This window comes from Homo sapiens, chromosome 7 (assembly GCF_000001405.40).
Source record: "Homo sapiens chromosome 7, GRCh38.p14 Primary Assembly".
Taxonomy (NCBI): Eukaryota; Metazoa; Chordata; class Mammalia; order Primates; family Hominidae; genus Homo; species Homo sapiens.
Window position 1 is genome coordinate 126,830,087 of NC_000007.14, and position 23,148 is coordinate 126,853,234.

Here is a 23,148-nt window from a genome sequence, read left to right on the forward strand (position 1 = left end):
GGCTTCCCTTTGAGGGTAACCCGAGCTTTCTCTCTGGCTGCCCTTAACATTTTTTCCTTCATTTCAACTTTGGTGAATCTGACAATTATGTGTCTTGGAGTTGCTCTTCTCGAGGAGTATCTTTGTGGCATTCTCTGTATTTCCTGAATCTGAATGTTGGCCTGCCTTGCTAGATTGGGGATGTTCTCCTGGATAATATCCTGCAGAGTGTTTTCCAACTTGGTTCCATTCTCCCTGTCACTTTCAGGTCCACCAATCAGACGCAGATTTGGTCTTTTCACATAGTCCCATATTTCGTGGAGGCTTTGTTCATTTCTTTTTATTATTTTTTCTCTAAACTTCCCTTCTCGCTTCATTTCATTCATTTCATCTTCCATCACTAATACCCTGTCTTCCAGTTGATCTCATCGGCTCCTGAGGCGTCTGCATTCTTCACATAGTTCTCGAGCCTTGGCTTTCAGCTCCATCAGCTCCTTTAAGCACTTCTCTGTATTGGTTATTCTAGTTATGCATTCGTCTTAATTTTTTTCAAAGTTTTCAACTTCTTTGCCTTTGGTTTGAATTTCCTCCTGTAGCTCGGAGTAGTTTGATCGTCTGAAGCCTTCTTCTCTCAACTCGTCAAAGTCATTCTCCGTCCAGCTTTGTTCTGTTGCTGGTGAGGAACTGCGTTCCTTTGGAGGAGGAGAGGTGCTCTGCTTTTTAGAGTTTCCAGTTTTTCTGCTCTGTTTTTTCCCCATCTTTGTGGTTTTATCTACTTTTGGTCTTTGATGATGGTGATGTACAGATGGGTTTTTGGTGTGGATGTCCTTTCTGTTTGTTAGCTTTCCTTCTAACAGACAGGACCCTCAGCTGCAGGTCTATTGGAGTTTGCTAGAGGTCCACTCCAGACCCTGTTTGCCTGGGTATCAGCAGCGGTGGCTGCAGAACCGCGGATTTTCGTGATCCACGAATGCTGCTGTCTGATCGTTCCCCTGGAAGTTTTGTCTCAGAGGAGTACCCGGCCGTGTGAGGTGTCAGTCTGCCCCTACTGGGGGGTGCCTCCCAGTTAGGCTGCTTGGGGGTCAGGGGTCAGGGACCCACTTGAGAAGGCAGTCTGCCCTTTCTCAGATCTCCAGCTGAGTGCTGGGAGAACCACTGCTCTCAAAGCTGTCAGACAGGGACATTTAAGTCTGCAGAGGTTACAGCTGTCTTTTTGTTTGTCTGTGCCCTGCCCCCAGAGGTGGAGCCTACAGAGGCAGGCAGGCCTCCTTGAGCTGTGGTGGGCTCCACCCAGTTCGAGCTTCCCGGCTGCTTTGTTTACCTAAGCAAGCCTGGGCAATGGCGGGCGCCCCTCCCCCAGCCTCGCCACCTTGCAGTTTGACCTCAGATTGCTGTGCTAGCAATGAGAGAGACTCCGTGGGCGTAGGACACTCTGAGCCATGTGTGGGATATAATCTCCTGGTATGCCATTTCCTAAGCCCATCGGAAAAGTCCAGTATTTGGGTGGGAGTGGCCCAGTTTTCCAGGTGCCGTCTGTCACCCCTTTCCTTGACCAGGAAAGGGAAGTCCCTGACTCCTTGTGCTTCCTGAGTGAGGCAATGCCTTGCCCTGCTTCAGCTGGTGCACAGTGCGCTGCACCCACTGTCTGGCACTCCCTAGTGAGATGAACCCGGTACCTCAGATGGAAATGCAGAAATCACCTGTCTTCTGCATGGCTCACACTGGGAGCTGTAGACCGGAGCTGTTCCTATTCGGCCATCTTGGCTCCTCTGAAACTGAAACTCTTATAGGCAAATAACATGTCTATAAGTAAATTAGTTTCTTGAATGTTACACATTTGAGCTGTTAAGCTTGTTTTCTGTTTCATTTTAAGAGTTTAAATCTCTGAAAGTTTGGTAGAATATATCCTCTATTTTCATTTTCAAGTGTGAAAGCCATATCAATAAATAAGTGCAGACTTATATAACTGCAAAAATGTATCTTCAAGTATTTATTGTGTACCTACTATGTGCCAAAAGCTCAGTGTGCCTCAAGCTTGGGGACAGAATCATGACTAGAACTCAGATCATTGTCCAAGAGTTAGTACGCAACATAGTGCCATCTTCCAAAAAAAAAAAAAAGAAAAAGAAAAGATAAAGAAAGAAAAGAAAGAAGTGCCATAGTGGACTAGATCCCTTATCTACTCAGGCCTGTGATCTAGAATGACAATAGTACATACTGGAAGAAATGATGGTTTTATGATATCAATTTTATAAAGCTAGGAATGTGCACTCAAACATCGTCTTACTTGTCTTAACAACTCATTGTAAATGCCTTTTCTTTGAATTCATTTAAGCCACACTTAAACCTATCTATATATTCTGTATCTAAACTCACTCTCTATTCAGATGAAGCCAACAAAAAAACACCCCAATATACATAATAAAACACTATAAAGTTGAGTTAAAATAGCAACTTTTTTCTATACTACAATTAATATGTTTGCCTACTTTTTAAAAATTGTTTAACCTAGACTTACACATTATGTCATCAAACATAGTCATAGTACTAAGAAGAGATTCAGTATAAAACTACTGTTACAAAAAGGGATGAGAGAGTAGCTGCAGGCTTTCATTTTGCTAAACCACATGACTATCCTTCTCAACAGAATGTAGAAACCTGCACTTTTGGTACTTTTATTTTACATAAAACATTCTTCTATTAGTTTATTTTTCTAAAGCATTTTGCAGTTATTCCCTGGCTAATAGTAATAACCAAGAATTAAAAGCTACAGCATATGTTGAATAGCTGTATTACACCATAAATCACATTTACTGCCATTTGTTAACATGCTGTTTTAATTTCAGAAAATTCAATGACAGTTCATGAATTTTGCGGAATCTCAAAAATAATGACATGATTTTATGTTGAAGACTAAAGGGATGTTGTCAATTTTAATGTGTACTGGGAGGTCACATGGTATTCTCAAATTTAATGGTAAAGCAAATTTAGTTAACCCTGCAGAAACATAAGGAGTCTTGAACAATCAGTCTCTTGGCTAGCCAAGGGCAAATGAGGAATGAAGACACTTACAAGTTTAAATCCAACACCTGAGGGTGCTTTGAAAACTTTTCTGCACCAAATGCAGCTGGTGGAAAGAGATACTCAAAGGGTAAGGAAGAGGCGGTACAAAGATAGCTGATAAAAGGCAACAGTCACAGCAGTAGAAAAATTTAGACAACTATTTGCGAGAACTTATCATCTGAGTAATCATTCTTTGCACCCCAGGTCTTTATTCCCACCCTCAAGAATAAAGTTAACTCCAGCTATGTCCAGATACAGGTAGTTTTGCCTAGGATACTAGTTATCTTAGTTTGTTCAGTCTGCTATACCAAAATGCCATAGATCAGATGGCTTAAATAACAGACATATAATTCTCACAGTTCTGGAGGCTGGGAAGTCCAAAATCAGGGTGCCAGTATGGTCAGGCTCTAACCTGATCTGCTCTTTCTAGCTTGCAGATGGCTGCCTTCTTGCTTTATCACATGAGAGACAGAGAGGAAGCCCGTGTGTCTCTTTCTCGTCTTATAAGCACACTAATCCCATCATGGAGCCCCACCTTCATGACTTCAGCTAAACCTAAACCTCCCAAAGACCTTGCCTGCTAATCCTATCACATTGAGGATTATGGCTTCAACAAACAAATTTGGGATCAGGGAGGACATAAACATTCAGTACATAACAATGGTCATCAACCTTTAGGGTGCCTAAGAACCACTTGGGGAGATTTAGTAAAAATGCAGATTACTAATCCTTCAACATTTGTGATTCTGATTCATTCCATCTGGGAGGCGGACAGAAAACACTTTCAAAAGCAGTCCAGGAAATTCTGATGTAAGGGTCCACTGGCCACATTGTGAGAAATTCTGTCCTGGCTTAGCTTCAAGCAGAAGGGATTGCTTGCAAAGTGCCTGTGCTGTGCCTCAAAGACTGAAAGAAGTGTATTCAGAGATCAGACTGTCCTACGGATGGTAAAAGCCAGAACCAGGAGGTGCCAACAGAGGTGCTCCCACATAAATGTCAACCAAATGGTGCTAGGTAATATAGATGTACTCAGTGTCCAATTCCCATCCTCTCCCCCATTGCCATGGCCTTTAGAAAACTATCTTTGACAGAGAGGCAAAAGGAAAACACCTGGCTAGAATCCTCATATCCAATCTAAAAATAAGATTTTAAGATAGATTTTAAGGGGAAACAATACATGGGAATTCAATTGTGCATATCCTAATGGAGTCACTCTGGCCAATGAGAGCTCACCCTGAGAAAGAGGGCCTCTCCCTTACAATATGATAACAAGGAAAAGTCTTTTGAAATAAACAATAATAGTAATAATAACAATAACAATCCTATGAGGATTATATTGAAGTCCATGTAGTGTTTTTCCATTTATCAGTTCCTTTTGTCTTCTGTGATAAACATGAAGGAAAATGTATGGTTGTAAATGGTTTCAACTAACAAAACAATAACATTCAGAAAAAAGTCATCAGGAGAACTGATTTTTCAGTTGTCCTAAAGATAATGCAGTGTAGTCAGATTAAAAACCCTGAATTGACAAGGCTTTAATAGATTTAACTTCTGGGGCTTACTTTTTAAATACTGAAATCACAAACTTCAACAGCTTCAAAGTGTTTTGCAACAAACATATAATGATTATTTTAAAAACGATTATTGTTTATAAGCTTAAAAAGGAAGCAGCAAAAGAAACAGCATTATAGGCTGGGTTGGGGCTCACACTGTAATCCCAGCACGTTGGGAGGCCAAGCTGAGAGGATTGCTTGAGCTTAGGAGTTTGAGACCCGGTCTCTGAAAAATAACTAAAAAATTAGCCAGGTGTGGTGGTGTGTGCCTGTATTCCCAGCTATTTGGGAGGCTGAGGTGGGAGGATTGCTTGAGCCCAGGAGGTTGAGGCTTCAGTGAGCCATGCTTGCACCACTGCACTCCAGCCTGGGTGACAGAGTAAAACTCTATCTCAAAAAAAAAATAAAAAAAAAAAGAAAAGAAAAGAAAAATAAAACAGAATTATAACACTGAGAATTAAAATTACTTTTACCATGTAGCGTATTTCCCTACAAAAATTCAAGTTGTCCTTTAAATACAAATACATGAAACTACTGATGTTTCAAGTAAAATAAAAATGAATGTCTTCATAGCACTGTTTGTTATTAAGCTATTTCCATACTGGATTTATGCAAGCTATGTTTTACTAAAAGAATAAGCAAGTAGAAAATAATGCATAATTCCTACAGGCCACTCTTCTTTAAAGATGAGGACCTTCTTGATACCAACTGAAATTGCCTGTGTCAATGATTCCGGTGAAATATGCCTCAGTAAAGATGGGACTCAGGAAATATAATAAAAATCTGTCAGCCAAGTTCCAAGTGCCTAGGAACTGGTCATCACTGGCACATTGTAGAGCAGTTTGATAAGCATTAAAAAAAAGTTTGTAGTGATAAATGATTAACTATTGTTGAAATTAAATTGAATACTTTCATCTTTAAAATCCATTTAATTTCTTTAAAGCCATAAGGTTTTTCAAAGGTTAAGATTTATTATGGATTTTGGTTTCAGGTGATTGGTAAGTACCAGCCTCAGAATGCCATTTGGCACACAAATTGATTCCCTCAGGAAAACTAAAATTATGTGGATAATCCCATCTCTATGTCCTGTCTCTCAAAAACTTTAGAAAATTAATTCAAAGGACAGAAGTGTAGGTTGTTTTCAAGCAAACAACTTCAAAGTGAGTACATTTTTCTCCTTTAAAATACACACAGAAACTCTAAAAGGGTCAGGCCATCTTCAAGGGCAGAATACTTGTTCAACATCTAGATATAGGCTGCTAAGGCTGATGAATGAGAATGGAAGTAAGAGAAAAAGCTGACAATCAGTCAAGGGTATCATCCCATATTTTTAAAAAATTCCTTCTTTGGTCAGTTCATTCCATTTTGATCAAAAGCATCATGCAACCACTTGTTTAACATAAGGAAAAAAAATCTCAAAATATAAGATGAATTTCACATTACTGAAGCTCACAGAGAATGAAATACAGTTTTTCTAGAACCTTATATTAATTTCTTGGCCAAAATTAAGTCCTCTCGAAGGTTAAAAAAAATTGCAAGACTCATCAGTTATGGCAGCCAACAGATCAAATACTCATTTACTCATTGTATATAAGAAAATGGTGTATTTAAACATTCAACAAATAAATAAAGAAAACAAAAATTTCCTGGGAGCACCACCAGAAGAATGATGATGTATGTTGGTGATAGCCACTGAACTTGCAGCTGAATACCTGGTTCAAGGTGGATCATGCCATTCTCCTACCTTCTGTGTCACTTAAAAGAAATTCAAATTCCATAACATAGCCCACAATATTCTGCTGAGCTGCCCCCTGCCTCTCTTTTCAGTCTCATCACCTATTCTCTCCTCCTCATTCACACTGGCCTCCCTTCAATCTCTCCAGTTCAGCAAGCTTCATCCTACTTATCTAGCACTCTCTGGCTCCTCCCCTGCCTCGTACTCACCTGCTGTCTCCTGCTCATCTTTCAGGTCTCAGACTGCATGTCACTCCTTAAATTCAGTCATTGCCTGCCCCACATTCTGAATCAGGTGCTCTATTTTCTTTCAGAGTATGCTCTATTCTTCCTTTGAAACATTTATCAACACAGATGATTATACATTTGTGTAATTATTCATCTAATTACTCTTTCCCTCATTAGACCATAAGATTTCTGAAGTCTTATACATGGTAACTAGCACGTAGTACAAACTAAACAAATAATATTAAATTAATGAAATCCCAGTTCTGACAATTATATTATCTTAGGTAAGTCATCCAATTTCTCTGAGCTTTATTTTCTTATCTATAAATATGGGCATTAATCTAATAATTTTATATATTTTAACATAATAGGAATATATTCACTTTTGCAAATTGGAAAGCACCACTCAGATTTAAGACATTATTTTTTTTTCTTACATCAAGATTATGAACCAAAGAACTTTTAAATTGATCATTATAGTCTTCATTTAGTCGGCATAGGCATATCCAGAAAGGCCTCACATTTAGTACTAATAAAGCTTGGTGTTTAAGGAATATTATAGACAATGAATAACAATGATTCCTTGTAATTTACAACTGAAGTTGATGCCACATCAGGTATATCAAAATCTTCGTTAAGACTATTTCCTTTAATAAAGTTTATGCTACCATGTTACATAAAAAGGAATCAACTGGTATTATTTAGTTGTTCTGTTTATATGGACTATTTTAGCAATTTAGAAAAGATGTAGGGTACATGCCACTTTATATGCAAATATGCCTTGACAACTGTATGAATAAACAAGAAAACTGTAAATATACTTTAAAAGCCAAGATGATACAAATGGCCATTCATGAGTGGACTTACTGTCTAAGTTATTTTTCCAAGAGTGGAAATTCATTCATGTTGATACACGCAATTCTCACTTCATTCCCTCTTCCAATGACAAGGTGAGGAGATCTATGTCTAGAGCACTTTTTATCTAAGTGAAAGGAGCCAACAAGTGCCAGATGAACATGACTGTGGTCTCATCTTTTTTCACCTTAACCCACTGGCCTAACGGGCCTGGACAGCAGAAGATTTGTGATGCTAAAAGAATTTACTTCTGCCTGGATATTTTAGGGATTTGACTCCTGTCAGGTATTGCAACAAAGTCAAGTGATTCAATTTACCAGGCAAGGACAAGAAATGGTTTCAGGAAAAACCAAGGTGATGAACTATTGAGCATCCAGTTCATTAGCTGTCATCCATCTTGACATCTTCATCTTTCAAGCAGTACTGCAGAAAATCAAAGACGTGTAGTGCTTCCCTTAAAAAATCTGAGAAGGAAAACATATCCTCTTAAAGTTAAAGAGACTGTGAAGCCTATTTCAAATGGATTATGAAAGATAACCATTGCCTCAAGTCTGAAAATCTTGATAGATACTCCATTGTAAATACTACCTGTGCCCTTAAACACACTAATCTTAAAAATAATATCATTAAAATATGTACTGCATGAACTGCTAGAGTATTTTTAGCTTATTCTAATTTGATGCATTGTGCATTTTAATATGCAGTAATAGTTACATGACAAATAACTGACCTTTTAGAAATAGCATCTTGGGGGAAAAAAAAGACTCAAGAAAAAAAGTGTTTCCCTGAAACATCAGCCAATAAAACATGGGCAGTAAGACTCCAGTGACATAGCCAAGTACTGGTAATATCACCTTCCTTCTTTTGTTTCTCTGCTCTGCTTATTCAACACTGAGGTACTGAAACTCTGGGGTTTTTGCACTTATATGCAGAGTTTCCTGGAATTAAAGAGTAATGTAAGCAACCAAAGACATTAAAGAAGTGATTCATAACCTTCCCCACCTACTATTCTTTATCAAGGGGAAAGTGTTTTATTTCAAGTTCTTGAAGGCCCCTAGAGGTAAAGGTGAGGTGAAAATTATGCTTTTCTTCTATATCCCACATACTACTTTATTAATGCTAAGAAGCACTGTAATGTTGCCTTTTAATTCTCTGCTTTCTGAAACACTCAGTGAATATTATTCCAGATCTGTAGTTACTAACAAACAAAATAAAATTAAAGACTCATACATTGTTCTCTCCTGAATTTGCCATTTAAAACATCTAAGTCAGGCTGTGAAAGAAAATGTTAACTCACGGCTCACATCATATAAGCAACTAGACCACAAAACCTAAAAGATTACCATGGACTCTCAGAAGCCTTTGTAGTCTTAAATTATTGGAGGACAACTAAGGAACTATTCAGGTGTACGCTTTGCCCATCGGGGAAAGCCCTAGGTGCAGGTGACTGAATGGCTGCTTCTGAAGAACGGCATTTGGTATCTGAGTAAGTTCCTATACCTACAAATTACTTGCAAGCCCTTCAGCCTGAAATTTCCCAATATATTATTAAAACTCTTATTATCTCCACACTACTTGCTGCTACCACCACTACCACCATACACTGCATGATTTTTGGCCGGGAACTATACCAGGCACTTTACATAAGGCACACATGTAACACCCGCATCAACTGTAGAAAGTAGGGGCATTATTATATTCAGTTGATAGAAAACAGAGGCAGGTAAGATGTTCTAGGCTTCTGCTAAGCAAAACATGGTCCATGGAATAGCAGCTACAACATCACCTGAGAGCTTGTCTGAAATGCAGAATCTCAGGCTCAAGTCCCTGATCTAATGAATTAGGATCTGGATTTTAATAAGATATCCAAGTGATTTATATGCACATGAATATTGAGAAGCAGTGCTTTGGGTAAATGGAATCACTCAGACTCAAACTCAGGGGTCTCTAGCTCAAAGATCCAGATATTAAAATAGTCAGCTCTTCCTGAAGATGCAAGACATCTAAAGAATGTAAAACATTGAATACATTCACATTTAGGACCAAGTTTTTCATCAGCTGAGAAAATCTGATACTGAGAATTACAAATTTGAGACGAGAAAACGATGACCTGGGAATAACAGAGGAAGGAGATACCTGGTAAGGGAATAGAAGAGAGCCACTGGGAAAAGAAATTGGGCTTAAAACACACTTTGTGCATTTTGGTTTGTCCATTTCAGTTTGGTTAAGGGAGTTCTTAGCCAAACTGAACAGAGTTTTGACTCTGTTCCCAAAACTCTCGGCTCACCTGAAGTGGTGCTTGATATCAGACAACCTTACTGGGGAGCTCAAGAGTGCTTAATTGAATTATTCACAAGATCACTTTCTCATGAACCAACCACTCCATATCCAGACATCCCTTTGCTGAATGTACATACTTATTCTTCAAGTTCTTACATCAATCAGCCCAATATGGAGCTTTCTAGAGATACTAACTGCTTAACTAAGTCTGATAAATGAAAACATCTGTATGGGTGAAATTTTTTTAATGCAATTTTAGTTGTTTTTTCACCACCATATATAATAAATCAAACTATATTAATCCATCAGGTATCCATCTGGGATCAGTTTTGATGGTATTCAAGCCTGATAGGTAATTAAAATGTTATTTCCATGCAAATTGCATCTGATCTTGAAAACAGTTTCCCTTAACCTGAAATTGGCTAAACATTTCTCTGCAGTCTTAAATTATCCAAATTTCCAAGCAAATATTTTTGTTTCCATAATAGAAAGGGAAACTGCAGGTCATTCATGAATCAAGTTATCATAATTAATTAGGTTTAGCTCTATTACCTTTTTATTTAAAAGCTAACTGGATACTACTATTTATCCTTCCTTTTGTATTACAGTATTTCATAACTGACTTTCATAGTATCCACTCTAAAATTTGTTAACACTTTGATGATACAGTATTTTCATCTTTTATTGGAAAAGAATTTATTGCTACTTTCAAGCATAGTTTTTTTCTCATTCATTATATTGTTATCATAACCACGTGGCTTATAAAGATATGCAGACACTAATGTTATATCAATACTTATGTCTTTGGACTTTTCATTTAAAAGTTAATTGTTGACTATGTATTTTTTTATTGTGCAAACTTTCCCAAATTCCACACCATAGCATGACTTGCTAATGAATATATTTACACCAAGAAAATAAAATGAACTTTGTATAAGTTTCTAATATAAATAAAAGGGAATACTTACTTTCGAAAGAAAGATAATTTCCTATCAATTTAATAATTTTCTTTCATTTTAACGGTAGAAATTATACACCAATTTCATGTCACAAAAGAGGTTAGAGCTTGTTTTTATAAACAATGTTTGTTAGATTACTCTTGCCCCTATCAGAGGAAGATCTGAAAATGTAACAAAGAAGATATATTTCATTTTTGTGCAAATAGACATGTATATAAAGATTAAAGGCTCTGACAGAGCCTAAAAATGAAGTCCTTTATTTAATGTACTAGAATAATGCATGCATTGGCAGTATGCCAGCTTTAAAATTGACATAGAATGAGCCTTAACTTCTCCTGCATGATTCACTATCAGGACCAGAAAGCCATTCAGCAATGCTTGTCATGTCTTGCTATATAACAAAATAACCCCCAAATTTTGTGGCTTATAATAACAACAACCATCTTATCATCTGCTATAAATGTGTGGGTCAAGAATTCAGGAAGGGCCTGCCTGAGAAATTATCTGTGCCATATGGCATTAACAGAAGTCACTTGGAGGTATTCTGCTGGTGGTTTGGCTCCTCCAGAGAGCTCAAGTCAGCTTTACCTACATTTCTGCAGTCTTGGTGGTAATGGCTAGAAGAATGGGCTCAGCAGGACAATTGACCATAGCACCTATGCTAGCCCCTCTGATATGGTGGCCTCAGAGAGTGGGGTATCTTTTCATAGAGTCTTGGATAGAAGGTATAAGTCTTCTGACTTAGCATCACAAGTCCCAGAATGTCACTTCCACTGCATTTACTGACTAAATGTAACATAGATCCCAAGACAGAAAATGAACATGCATTAGGTAAAAATAAAAGAAATCTGAATGAAGTCTGGCCTGTATTTTATTTTTATTTATTGGATTATTATTTTTTTTTTTTTGAGATGGACTCTCGCTCTATCACCCAGACTGGAGTGCAGTGGTGCAATCTCCGCTCACTGCAAGCTCCGCCTCCCGGATTCACCCCATCCTCCTGACTCAGCCTCCTGAGTAGCTGAGACTACAGGCGCCCCCACCAAGCCTGGCTATTTTTTTTTAAATATATTTTTAGTGGAGATGGGGTTTCACCGTGATAGCCAGGATGGTCTCGATCTCCTGACCTCGTTATCTGCCCGCCTCGGCCTCCTAAAATGCTGGGATTACAGGCGTGAGCCACCGTGACCGGCCCCAGCCTTTATTTTCAAACAAATGTTGTTGAGAGGAATAAATATGACAGTGTGGAATAAAACAGAAGCTCACACACCTACATTGGCAGAAAAAGTTAGATATGATCAATAAATTGTTAAACCATTTAACGTTTTTGCCAGAGAAAGAACACAATAATTTGAAGAAAAAATTTAAATATGGTTTCTCTGCCTACAATAAAATGGAATAGAGAAGAGAATACTCACTAAAGAGAACAAAGGTCAAATAGCAAGAGAAAAATACAAAGGCACAGCCAGCTGTAGATCCAGGAGGACAACAGGATGGTCCTGAGCAGAAGGATACCAGAAAGGGATGTTTAAGAGGCAATAGGATACTGCAAACCAGATGAGTCTTTATAGTTTCTTTAGCTGACCCTGAAAGCAAGTGATTTCTAAGTTACAAACTGCTGAAGAGAAGAGGAACTCCCACCCAAAACTATATAGTAAGAAGAAAAAGACTTGCTAAATACCATTTAACTTCTGAAACAGGAAAGAATCACTACATATTTGTGATAGGCAGACTAATGCCTGCCACCAAAGATGTTCATGTCTTTCTCCCTTGAACGTGTGAATGTATTATGTTGCATAGGAGAATTAAGGTTGGAGATGGGATTAAGATGGCTGATCAGCTGGATTTAAAATAAGAAGATTACCCTGGATTATCTCAGAAGGCCCAATATGATCACAAAGCTCCTTTAATGAGGAAGAGGGAGGCAGAAGAGCCAGACCAGAGAGCAGGCATAATCAGAAAGACTCCATTGGTCATTGCTGGCTTTGAAGATAGAAGGTGTCCATAAGCCAATGAATGCAAGCAGCTTCTAGAAGCTGAAAAGGACAAGAAAACAGATTCTCCCTAGAGCCTTCAGAAAAGAATGCAGTCCTGCTGACACCTTGATTTTCATCCAGAGAGACCCATTTCAAACCTCTAAACTCCGGAACTGTAAGACAATACGCCTGTGTTCTTTTAAGACACTAAATTTGTGGTAATTTTTTACAGCAGCAATAGGGAACTAATACAATTGTGAAAAATGAGGGGAATTGGAAGGAAAAAAATTAAAGCATTTAATTTGCAAACAATTGTTCAAACATGATAAAAATGATAATGAGACTTACAAAATATCTTACAAATGAAAGAAGATAACTTTCCTGAAAGAAGATAACTATCCATAACACATAATGATTGACATAATCCTGTGAGGGTCATGACAAATATGCTCTATGAAGTGTTGGGATTTCAGCTTCCTGTTTCATTTCATGTCAGTTTTGGCAGATCTGGACTTCAGTAACTAGCAGTGTGCCTAGTACATGGTAGAAGCTCAATAAGGACTAAATCCATTATATAAACTAAAGGGGACTATAAAGTAGAAAAAAAAACTCATTATCACATATGGCTTGTGAGATTAGGCACATAGCAAAGGAAGGAAGAGAGAAGAGAGCTAAAATTATTTGGAATAAAAAAAGAAATCCAATTGAGATCCAAGTGAAATGCAAATACATTTCTAGTGAGACATTTTTAACCATTGACGAAGCTTCTTAGTTTCAGTTGGGTCTTCATAGCATCCTGCAAAAATGCATGGCAAAGATACAGCTGAACACCCACCAGCTGAAGCTGGGCTGTGATTGTTCTGGCAAACACATAACCCAGAGTAAATATTGTCTTGCACGAAGAAGTGAGGAGGTGGATTAGGCATTGTAATTACCATTTGCTGGGTATTTGGCATTCTTTTTAAAGATTTAATCATTTAGATGAGACTTAGTATCACTAAAAAAGGAGTCAATATTTCTGTGAGCCAGGGAGGAACAGCGCTGCTGTTTTCCTTCTGCTCAGCTGTTACATGTGCCTACAGAAAGACAACTTCACCTGCTACTTTTTTATTCAAGACAGCACAGATAAAGAATCATGAGCAGTAACTTCTTTCAGTTCTTTTTTCTTCCTGAACACACTGTGTTCTCATCTATTATTGATCAGAAAGTGATATTTAAATAGGGTGGCAATTTATAAAATTGCACAGGGATGTTATTACATTATCTTAATTAATTTTACAACCAGCACTCACTCACTGTCCTTTATAGTACATCTAAAGAATTAATGTGCTGATTAACAATAGCCAAGCAGACTCAGATAGTAGCTTTCAGATAAGAACTTCTGTTAATCTTCTGCTTGTCAATTGGAATCTACTGACATAAATTGCTTTAATCTGAGTTCCTGGCATTAAGCATTTATAGAACAACATTTTGAGACACTGATTATTGTACCATTCCTTTGGGGCAGTGCCCCTAAATTTTAGTGTACAAAAGAGCATCTGGAATTTGTTAAAATCCAAATTATTTAGCCCTTTCAGAGAGATCCTAATTCTTTAGGTCTAATGTGGGTCCAAGAATCTGTATTTTTAACAAGCATTCTGAAAGTGTCTGAGCCATGGGGTGAGGGGTATGTAACCAAACTTGTTTTGCAATCGTATATAAATATGGACAATATTTTTGCTGAAACTTTTCTTCTTTTCTTTAAATGTCCAAGTCCTTATGTACATGATCTCTTTTAGTCCTCACAATGATCTTGTGAAGTAGGTATTATTATTTCTATTGTAACAAAGAGACAAAGGGTTTAGTCACTTGCTGTCTGTTTGCTCAGGCTGCCATAATAAAACACTATAGATTGAGTGGCTAAAGAACAGCAGTGTATTCTCTAACAGTTTTGGAGGCTTGAAGTCCAACATCAGGATGCCACCATGGTCAGGTTCTGGGGAGAGCTCTCTTTCTGGTTTGCAAATGGCTGCCTTCTTGCTGTGTGCTCACATGGCATTTCCTCTGCACATGCATGGAGAGATAGAGAAAATGATCTCTCTTACTCTTCTTCTTATAAAGCCACCAATACCATTGGATTAGGACTTCACTCTTATACTGTCATTTAACCTTAATAAGCTCCTAAAAGCTCTATCTCCAAATAGTCACATTGGAGGTTAGGGCTCCAACATATGAACTTATTTGTGAGAGAGGGCGGAATTTAGTCCTTAGCCCTTGCCTATCACAAATAGTAAGTGGGATCCAGGATTTGCACCCTAATTGCCCTGACTCCAAGCCCACACCATCTCTACCTTACCTTGCCCCTCTTGCCCTCTGGGCCATTAGCAAGAAGTAGTGATGGGCTACTCAGCAACAGAGGCATGGAGGTTGGTTAGATGAATATTCAGTCTTCCATTAACTGAGAATTGACTTTAATGTAATCAGATCACTTCATTAAACTTTAAGGGCTGCCTTATATCTGGTGACTATGACTATTTTATTCCTGCAACTTTATTACTAGTGACATATTTGTGCTCATGGAGAAAAATAGTTCACGAAATCCCTTCCAGACAAGGATATTCAGCAGTTTAAGAGAGGGTATTGGACAAGGCTCAGGAGGTTACATATGCTTCTATGAGCAGCTCTTCCATCTTCCCTTTCAATGCTAGATGCCTTAGCTCAACCTAGGCCAACTTAGTCTTATCCTTTTTTTTATCCCAAAGGAGTAAAAATAAAGGATACTTATCAGCATTTTTCCATCTCACAATCTGCACAGAAATGAATCATTCATTACTAAACTTCCTTTACACACCATAGCCTGATAAGAAAACAAATAAAGCTTAAAGAAAAATATTAAAACACATTTGTACAATCTCATACCAATAGCAAGGCAAAGTCAAGTCAAAAAAGCATATATTTAAAGAACCACTTCTTGTGAATGTATAAATATTTGTATCTTTGTTGGGAACTTATATATTCAAAAATAATATACACAACAAAAATTATATTACTTACATAAGATCATGGAGAGAAGGAAATTCCATTAAAACAAGGAACAAATATCTTTTTGTAAGGATGAGTTCCTGTCCTAGGGTTTGAAGTCTAGATATCATGTCAGGGAAGGTATGTGTGGGAGAGAGGGTCAGGGTGAATCCCTTAGAGTGATGTAGAGAAGGAGATGGGGAAAAAATGTGCAGGGGAGTGGGGCTAGATGGAGTTTGGGGAGGGTAGATTATCATCACTGACTCTATTCTTCCTATAAAAAATGGAAATAATTAACTCCTATATTTCCAGCAATATAAAATATATATAATAGTATAAAATATATCTTTCATAAAAATTCCAAATATTGTACACATATTTGGGGCTCAGTAAGATCAGTTAAGTTGCACAAGTCATATAGATACTAAATGTGGAGCCAGGAAATGCAGCAAATTCAGAAGTGGAATATGACATTCTAGATTTAAGAGTTTGTCAAGGAAACTTTGGAAATCTACTGTTAAAACTCAAACTAAAAATTAAACTCCTTCACTCAAAAATGTGACTACATAAGATGCAAAAGCATTTATCAATAAAACCAAATGTAGGAGAAGATGATTCCCTCTCATCCACTGCAAATTCCTACCTGAGGTGACAAAATCATTTCCTCCACAAAATAATCACACAGTGTGAACTTAAGTGTAATGGTATCTTACCTTTAGAACGTTGTCTAAGCAACATTATAGGAGGGAAACTTTGGTTACTGAAAGATATAGCCCAAAGGGCTATGCTATTCTAAGAAAAGAACAAAATTTTCTGTAATGAGTTTTCTGGTAAGCACAGAACTTTGTAACCCTGGAGTTGAATAATATGTCCCATTTGTACATAGCTGATATTCAAAAAATTCAATAAGAGATTCAGCTTTGTGGACATTAATACCATGACATTTGACTTCCCAACTATTTATTAACAAAAAATATAAAAATCCACAAATATGTTATAAAGCAAAAAAAAAGAAGGAAGAGAGAAGGAAGAAAGAAGGTTAAAATAAAAGAGAGTAGAAACAAAAGACTATAGCAGTTTAGTTCTAAAGGAGAGGGAGAGCTTTATCAATTATTGAGTTCACTCTCTCATGTTACCCAGTGTGGACCACGGCCAGAACACACATCAAAAACACAATTCCTACCCTGGTATTTTTCCTATTGCACCACAGTATAAAATGCAAGAAACCATATTCTCCATTTATTAAATATAATCATAAGAAAGGCATGACTTATGCCTATTTTTAAAATTATCTCTACACAATTAGTTTGCAGCATTCTTTATATTTTAAAATGAGTTTACTTTGGATGTGCTGTTAAGGTAAATAATATAAAATTGATAGTATCTTTCACAGTTCAGTTGACATTCACAGAAGCTATCCTTACTTTGTCTAATATATCCCAAGCCTCATTTTCTATGCAACACAAGTAAGAGACTAGAATGAGGTAAAAGGCAACTGTTAATCAATTTGTTCTTATAGAACAACACTAGCTTTTTCCAGTTTTTGTATGTGTGTGCCAAAGACTTATTCTTATCACCTTGAGTACATAATGAACCTCCTAGGATTAGGCAGGTGGATGATATACAAAGATAAAAAGTGAGAAGTGACAAGTGTTCTAGATATCTAATGCTGTGTAACAAAATGCCCCAAACTGAATGAGCAACAGCAAAATTTATTTTGCGTATGACCCTGCAATCTGGGTAGGATGTAAAGTAGATAGATCATCCCTGTTCCACTCAGCATCCACTGATGCCCCTTGAGGTGTAGGGGCTGGTGTCATCTGAAGTACCAAACAAATAGTATTAGAGTTGGGGATCCCTAGACATCTCTTGTCTCCAGGTGGTCTCTCCACATGATTTCTCCTACATGGTAGCTTCAGAATAGCTGAGCTTTTTGCATTTTGGCTCAGGGATCCCAAGACATGAGCCCAAGAGAGAGAATCAGGTGAAAGCCATACTGCTTTTATGACCTAACTCAGAAGTTAGGCAACTTTGCATCTGTTTTGATCACAAGCCTTCCCAGATTCAAGGGGAGAGAATATGGACCTCATCTCCACGTAGACAAGTATCAACTGTATGTTGCATGAGGAGAAAATGTGGGATAGATATATTGGTGGATCCACTTTGGGAACTAAAATCTGCACCAATGTCCTTCCAGCAAGACTTAAAGTGACATCATGAAACCTGAGATCAAGAGGGATTTCTCCTGAAGCAAAGCATAAAATGGAGAGGAGATTACAAATGGAGAGACCAGTTAGGAGGTTATTGCAATTGTCAAGGTAGAAATTATCATGGTGAGAACTAGTGTGATGATAGGAACAGAAAGGAGACTTCCAAGAGCACTTGTTCTGACCCTTTTCTCAATGGAAAATGAGAGAGAGGAGAAAATAAAATAGAAATGTAATAAAGACGGGAAGAGGAACAGATCTGAGCAGACAGGATTAATTTGGCTTAGAAAATTTTCAGTTGTTCTTGTGGAATGTTGAGGCAGAAGTGTCCAGTGGTCATTGGAAAATGAGAGTCTAGAGCTGTACTGTTCATTAAGACCACATACGACTATTGTGTTATTGAACTGTGGCTGGTTTGAATTGAGAAGTGCTCTAAGAAAAAGTACACACTGAATTTTGAACACTTAGCACCAAAAAATGTAAAATATGTCAATATTGTTTATCTTATTTCTTGAAATAATATTTCAGATAGTTGGGTTAAATAAAATATATTAAAATTAGTTTTACCTTGTGTCTTTTTACTTTTATTAATGTGGCTGCTAGAAAATTTAAAATGACAGGCTGGGCATGATGGCTCACACCTGTAATCCCAGCACTTTTGGAGGCCAAGGGGGCAGATCACTTGTGGCCAGAAATTCGAGACCAGCCTGGGCAACATGGCGAAACTCAATCTCTACAAAAAAATACAAAATTATCTGGGCATGGTGGTGCATGCCTGTAGTCCCAGCTATATGGGAAGCTGAGGTAGGAGGATCACTTGAGCCCAGGAGGTCGAGGCTGCCATGAATCAAGATTGCACCACTGTACTCCAGCCTGGGCAACAGAACAAAACTCTGTGTATTAGTCTGTTTTCACACTGCTGATAAAGACATACCCAAGACTGGGCAATTTACAAAAGAAAGAGGTTTAATGGACTTACAGTTACATATGGCTGGGAAAGCCTCACAATCATGGTGGAAGGCAAGGAGGAGTAAGTCACATCTTACATAGATGGAAGCAGGCACAGAGAGAGAACTTGTGCAGGGAAACTCCCCCTTATAAAACCATCAGATCTCATGAGACTTCTTCATTATTATGAGATCAGCATAGGAACAACCTGCCCCTATGATTCAGTTACCTCCCACCAGGTCACTCCCACAACACATGGGAATTCAAGATGAGATTTGGATGGGGACACAGCCAAACCATATCACCCTGTCTCAAAAGAAAAAAACAGAAAGAAAGAAAAGAAAATTTAAAATGATAAATACTTGTCCCATTATAATTTTACTGGACTGTTGGTCTAGTTTTGATGAGAAAGCATATAGGGAATACTTTACCCTAGCTCTACACTATACCTGAAAGCATGGGATTGAATGATGTCTCAAAGGAGGGAATTTTAAAAGGGAAAAAAGAGGAACTGAGAAGATAATCTTAGGAATTCTCACAATTAAAGAGTAGAGAAGGTAATAAGCAGAGGAGTTCATAGCTTCATCTCCTACATTTCCTATTATATGTTTATGTAAATATTTACTGAAAGAATAAGTACATGGAAAATGAATTAATGTTTGCTTAATTTAAGAAAGTTCTTCATGCTGCTCAGCAAACATTCTTTATTTCCCTAAACCCCCATCTACTTTCGTTCTCCTAAACAACTATTTCCTTCCGTCTCTTCAAACCTTGAACCTCAAATATTTCCTCTCCTATCCTCACTGTCAGCTGATGATCTTGCATCCCCATTCTTTAAGAACCAGAAGCAATTACAAGGGAAGGAACCTCTTCCCTAAGCTTTGCTCCCACCCACCTCATCTGGTCTGCATACCTTCATACCCATCTCCTCTCCCTTTACCATGCTCCAACTTAGCCAACCCTTCCACTTGTACAATAGGTCCCAGCTCCATTCGAAAAAGAACACGGCCCCAACAGTACTTTCTCTCCTGCACCATAATGTCCCCTCTCTACTGGATTGTTTGTCCAATCAGTATAGAAAAGTGCTGTTTCTCCCATCTTAATGCAGCCCTCTTTTGATACTACTTCACCCTCCAGTTATTGCTTTTTCTCTTCTTCCCTTTGCATCAAGATATTTTAAAAGAGTTGTCTATGCATGCCGCCTCCAGTTTCTCTTCCTTATCCTCTCCTGAATCTACATCAATCATAATTTCCACCATCCAGCTGTCCTTGTCAAGGTCACTAATAAAGTTGCCAAACCGGCTCTCAGTCCTTGTCTTATTTGACCGCTCTAAAGCAATTGATGCAGTTGGTCATTTTCATCTACACTTGGCTTCCAGAACAGCATACATTCCTGGTTTACCTTCTATGCCCCTGGCTGTTCTTTTCAATATCCTTAATTGACCCCTTGTCATCTCCCTGTCCTTTATGTGTTGGAGTGCTTCAGGGCCCAGTCCTTAGAGCTCTTATATTGTTTATGTATTTTCTAAGTCAATCCCTTCCATCCAAACACACCTGGAACACACCTGTAGTTGAGAAAGTTGGGTTTATTACTCACTACAACAGGGAGAACACATACTCATACATAGGTAACCATGATAGTTTTAGTAAGATGAGGTTAGAAAGGATTATTACAAGGTTTAGGATTTGGTTGGATGATTTTGGAGAGAGTCCAAGGAAGGGAAGTTTCACTGTGGACTGAGTGCTGTCTGAAACTTCTATGATTATCTCAATAAATCTTATCTATAGAGAAGGGCAGACTAGAGCAAAGCTACAACTGTAACTAGCAAAGAAGCAACAGTTAATAATCGAAATAGGAAGATAGTTGATCTTCTTTAAAAAATATTCATGTTTTGTCTGTGTCTATTTTTTCTTGATCCATTGTGGTCAGAGTGGCCTTGCCCAATGTTGGTGTTCAATGCAATTGTTTATGGGCAACAGGGGAACACCAGGGCTTAGGTAACAGTGCGAGGCAGGCTCCTGAATGTCAGGGGTTGCTTTTGTCTAATCTCATCTAATCCCATGACTTTAAATTCCATCAATATACTGAATATTCTCAAATTTATATCCCTAGTTCTTATAGCCATGAATGGCCATGACAGCCAAAAAGTCTTCACCTACAAGGCTTTTCATACTGAACATATCTGAATCTAGTGTCCTGATGGTCCCCTCCCAATCTGCTTATTGGGGTACACTTCCCCATCTTTGTTTAGATAACTCCATCCTTTCCAGTTATTCAGACCCCAAACCTTTCTTGACTCGTATATACTTTATCTATCATACATCTGATATTTGGCAAATCCTGATGGCTGCACTTACGAAATGTACCCAGAATTTGAGAACTTGTCACCTCTCCAGGGCTATCCCTCTGTTCCAAGTCACCATCATGCCCCTCCTGGACTACTGGAATAACTCCTAACTGCCCCCACCCTGATTCTACCTTTTCTCCACTTAAGTCGATTCTCAACTCAGCAGCCAGAATAATCCTGTTAGAAAATAAGTCAGATCATGCCACCCATCTGTGGAAAACCCTCGAATAAGTTCCCATCTCAAAGTAAGAGAGCCAAGAGCCTTTCTATGATGTGCTTGGTCTGGATCTTCTATCTGACCTCATCTCCTGTTATCCCCATCCTAACCCACACTGTTTTAGCTACACCTCCTTGTTGTCCTTTGAACACCTAGAAAATCATCTATTTGCAATGGTCTTCTCTGCCCAGATGACTGTTCAGGGCCTTTGCAATGGTCTTCTCTGCCCAGAAAATTTCTTCCCCAGCTATCTCCATGTATTCCTTCCTCCATTCCCCCAGGGTTTTACTCCAATGTCATCTCAGGGTGTTCCTCCCCAGCCTTTCTGTCTAAAATGGTAACCTCCCACGCCTGACATTTCCCCTCCAGATTACCCTGCTTTATTTTTCCCCTTAGCACTTACATTACTCTCTAGCTAATATACTATATATTTACCATTTTAGTGAATTGTTTCTCTCCTAACCCCCATAGGGACAGGACTTTTGGTTTTTTCACAGCTGTATAAAGAGTACTCAGTACGTATTTGTTGCTCGAGTGCTGTATTGCCATGCCAGAGAGAGTAGATACTGAGACTGAGGAGGATGGCTGCCTGGCAGAGCAGTCTGGCCCACATCTCCACTGGCTGGAGGGGTTGGTGTTAAATATGCATAGGTGTGATGCTGTTTCTGGTTCCGATCTCATTCGTGGATGGAGATGTCTACCTGTCGTGTATGCTCAAGCCAATGGCACTGTATCCATCTGAGTCATCCCTCCCTGCCCAGAGAGTGCCCCGCTCCAGCCATTCTATGTGCCTGTTTCTGTGTATCCCAGATCCTAGGCAGCCAGGCCCAGCATGAGCCATAACATTGTGCTTTGAGCTAGACAGCAGCGCCTGACATGTTGTTTTTCCTTTCTTAGATATCATTAGACAAAAGCTTAGCTAGGGAGTTGGAGGAATGTATCATTACAAACAAACAAACACAAAAATCGAAGACAGTAGCAGTTCCTCAGTTAGTAGCTGGAAGGGCCACAGGTTGTCAATAGCAGGATGGTATTCGGTAATCATTACCCTTCTCTTTTATCCTAATTAAATTATCCTAGTCCTAACAAAAGGAATAAATGAAAAGAAAGAGCTGACAGTAAATAGGTTTATAGAACTGAACTAGAAAGATTAGAAATTGCTTTTGTGCCAAATTGGAACATTTAATAAACCTTCTTAGAAATCTTAAAATGTATTGAGAGTATTTTCTTTAAGAGAATTTTCAAGTGTTGTATTTGCAAAATCTAGTGATGTGTGACTTATTCCTCACAAAATCCAGCCTGTGTAATTAATCTTTGATCAAAATATGTGTGTGTTATATACTTTCATATATTTATATTTATTTCTGTATATTTATTTTCATATATTTGTATGCTTAAATATATGTATTTATAAAAAATGGATAAAATTTTACCTTTTTGAGTATTTTTAAGTTTTGGATTGTCCTTGATCATAATAATCATAATAGATTAACATTTTTAATTTAGTTTTGTTCAAATGACTTAGTGTTGCTCCAAGCAGTTTAGAAGTAAACAGTAACTTTGCTAGCATCCGCATTATTTTCAAAGTTCAGAGAAAACAATTTTGTGATGGATGGAATGTTTCATAAATATAGGCCACAAGTCCAGGGTTTTCAAAGAAGGATGTATCAGATGGAATAATACCAGTAGTACTTGCTTCCTCCGTTTCTTTCAGCCATTTTATGTTAACAGTGATGTTACTTGACTGGCCTTAGAGGATGAAAGAATCAGACCACTGGAGACAGTGCATGCTGAATTTGGC

General features: G+C 38.1%; 1 protein-coding gene across 25 annotated transcripts in view; it reads right to left on the reverse strand.

The window, feature by feature from the left end:
* Positions 1 to 23,148, reverse strand: part of GRM8 (glutamate metabotropic receptor 8) — an 814,344-nt gene that overhangs the window by 391,489 nt on the left and 399,707 nt on the right. Inside the window, exons 7-8 of one of the 25 annotated variants that reach the window (XR_007060010.1) lie at positions 10,661 to 10,812; positions 7,402 to 7,876 (exon numbers count right to left, since the gene is read on the reverse strand). The exons of the other annotated variants lie outside the window; for them this stretch is intronic. The gene's annotated coding sequence lies outside the window, so the exon portion shown is untranslated. Of the gene's footprint in view, positions 1 to 7,401; positions 7,877 to 10,660; positions 10,813 to 23,148 lie in introns of those variants that run through there. 25 annotated transcript variants of the gene reach the window in all.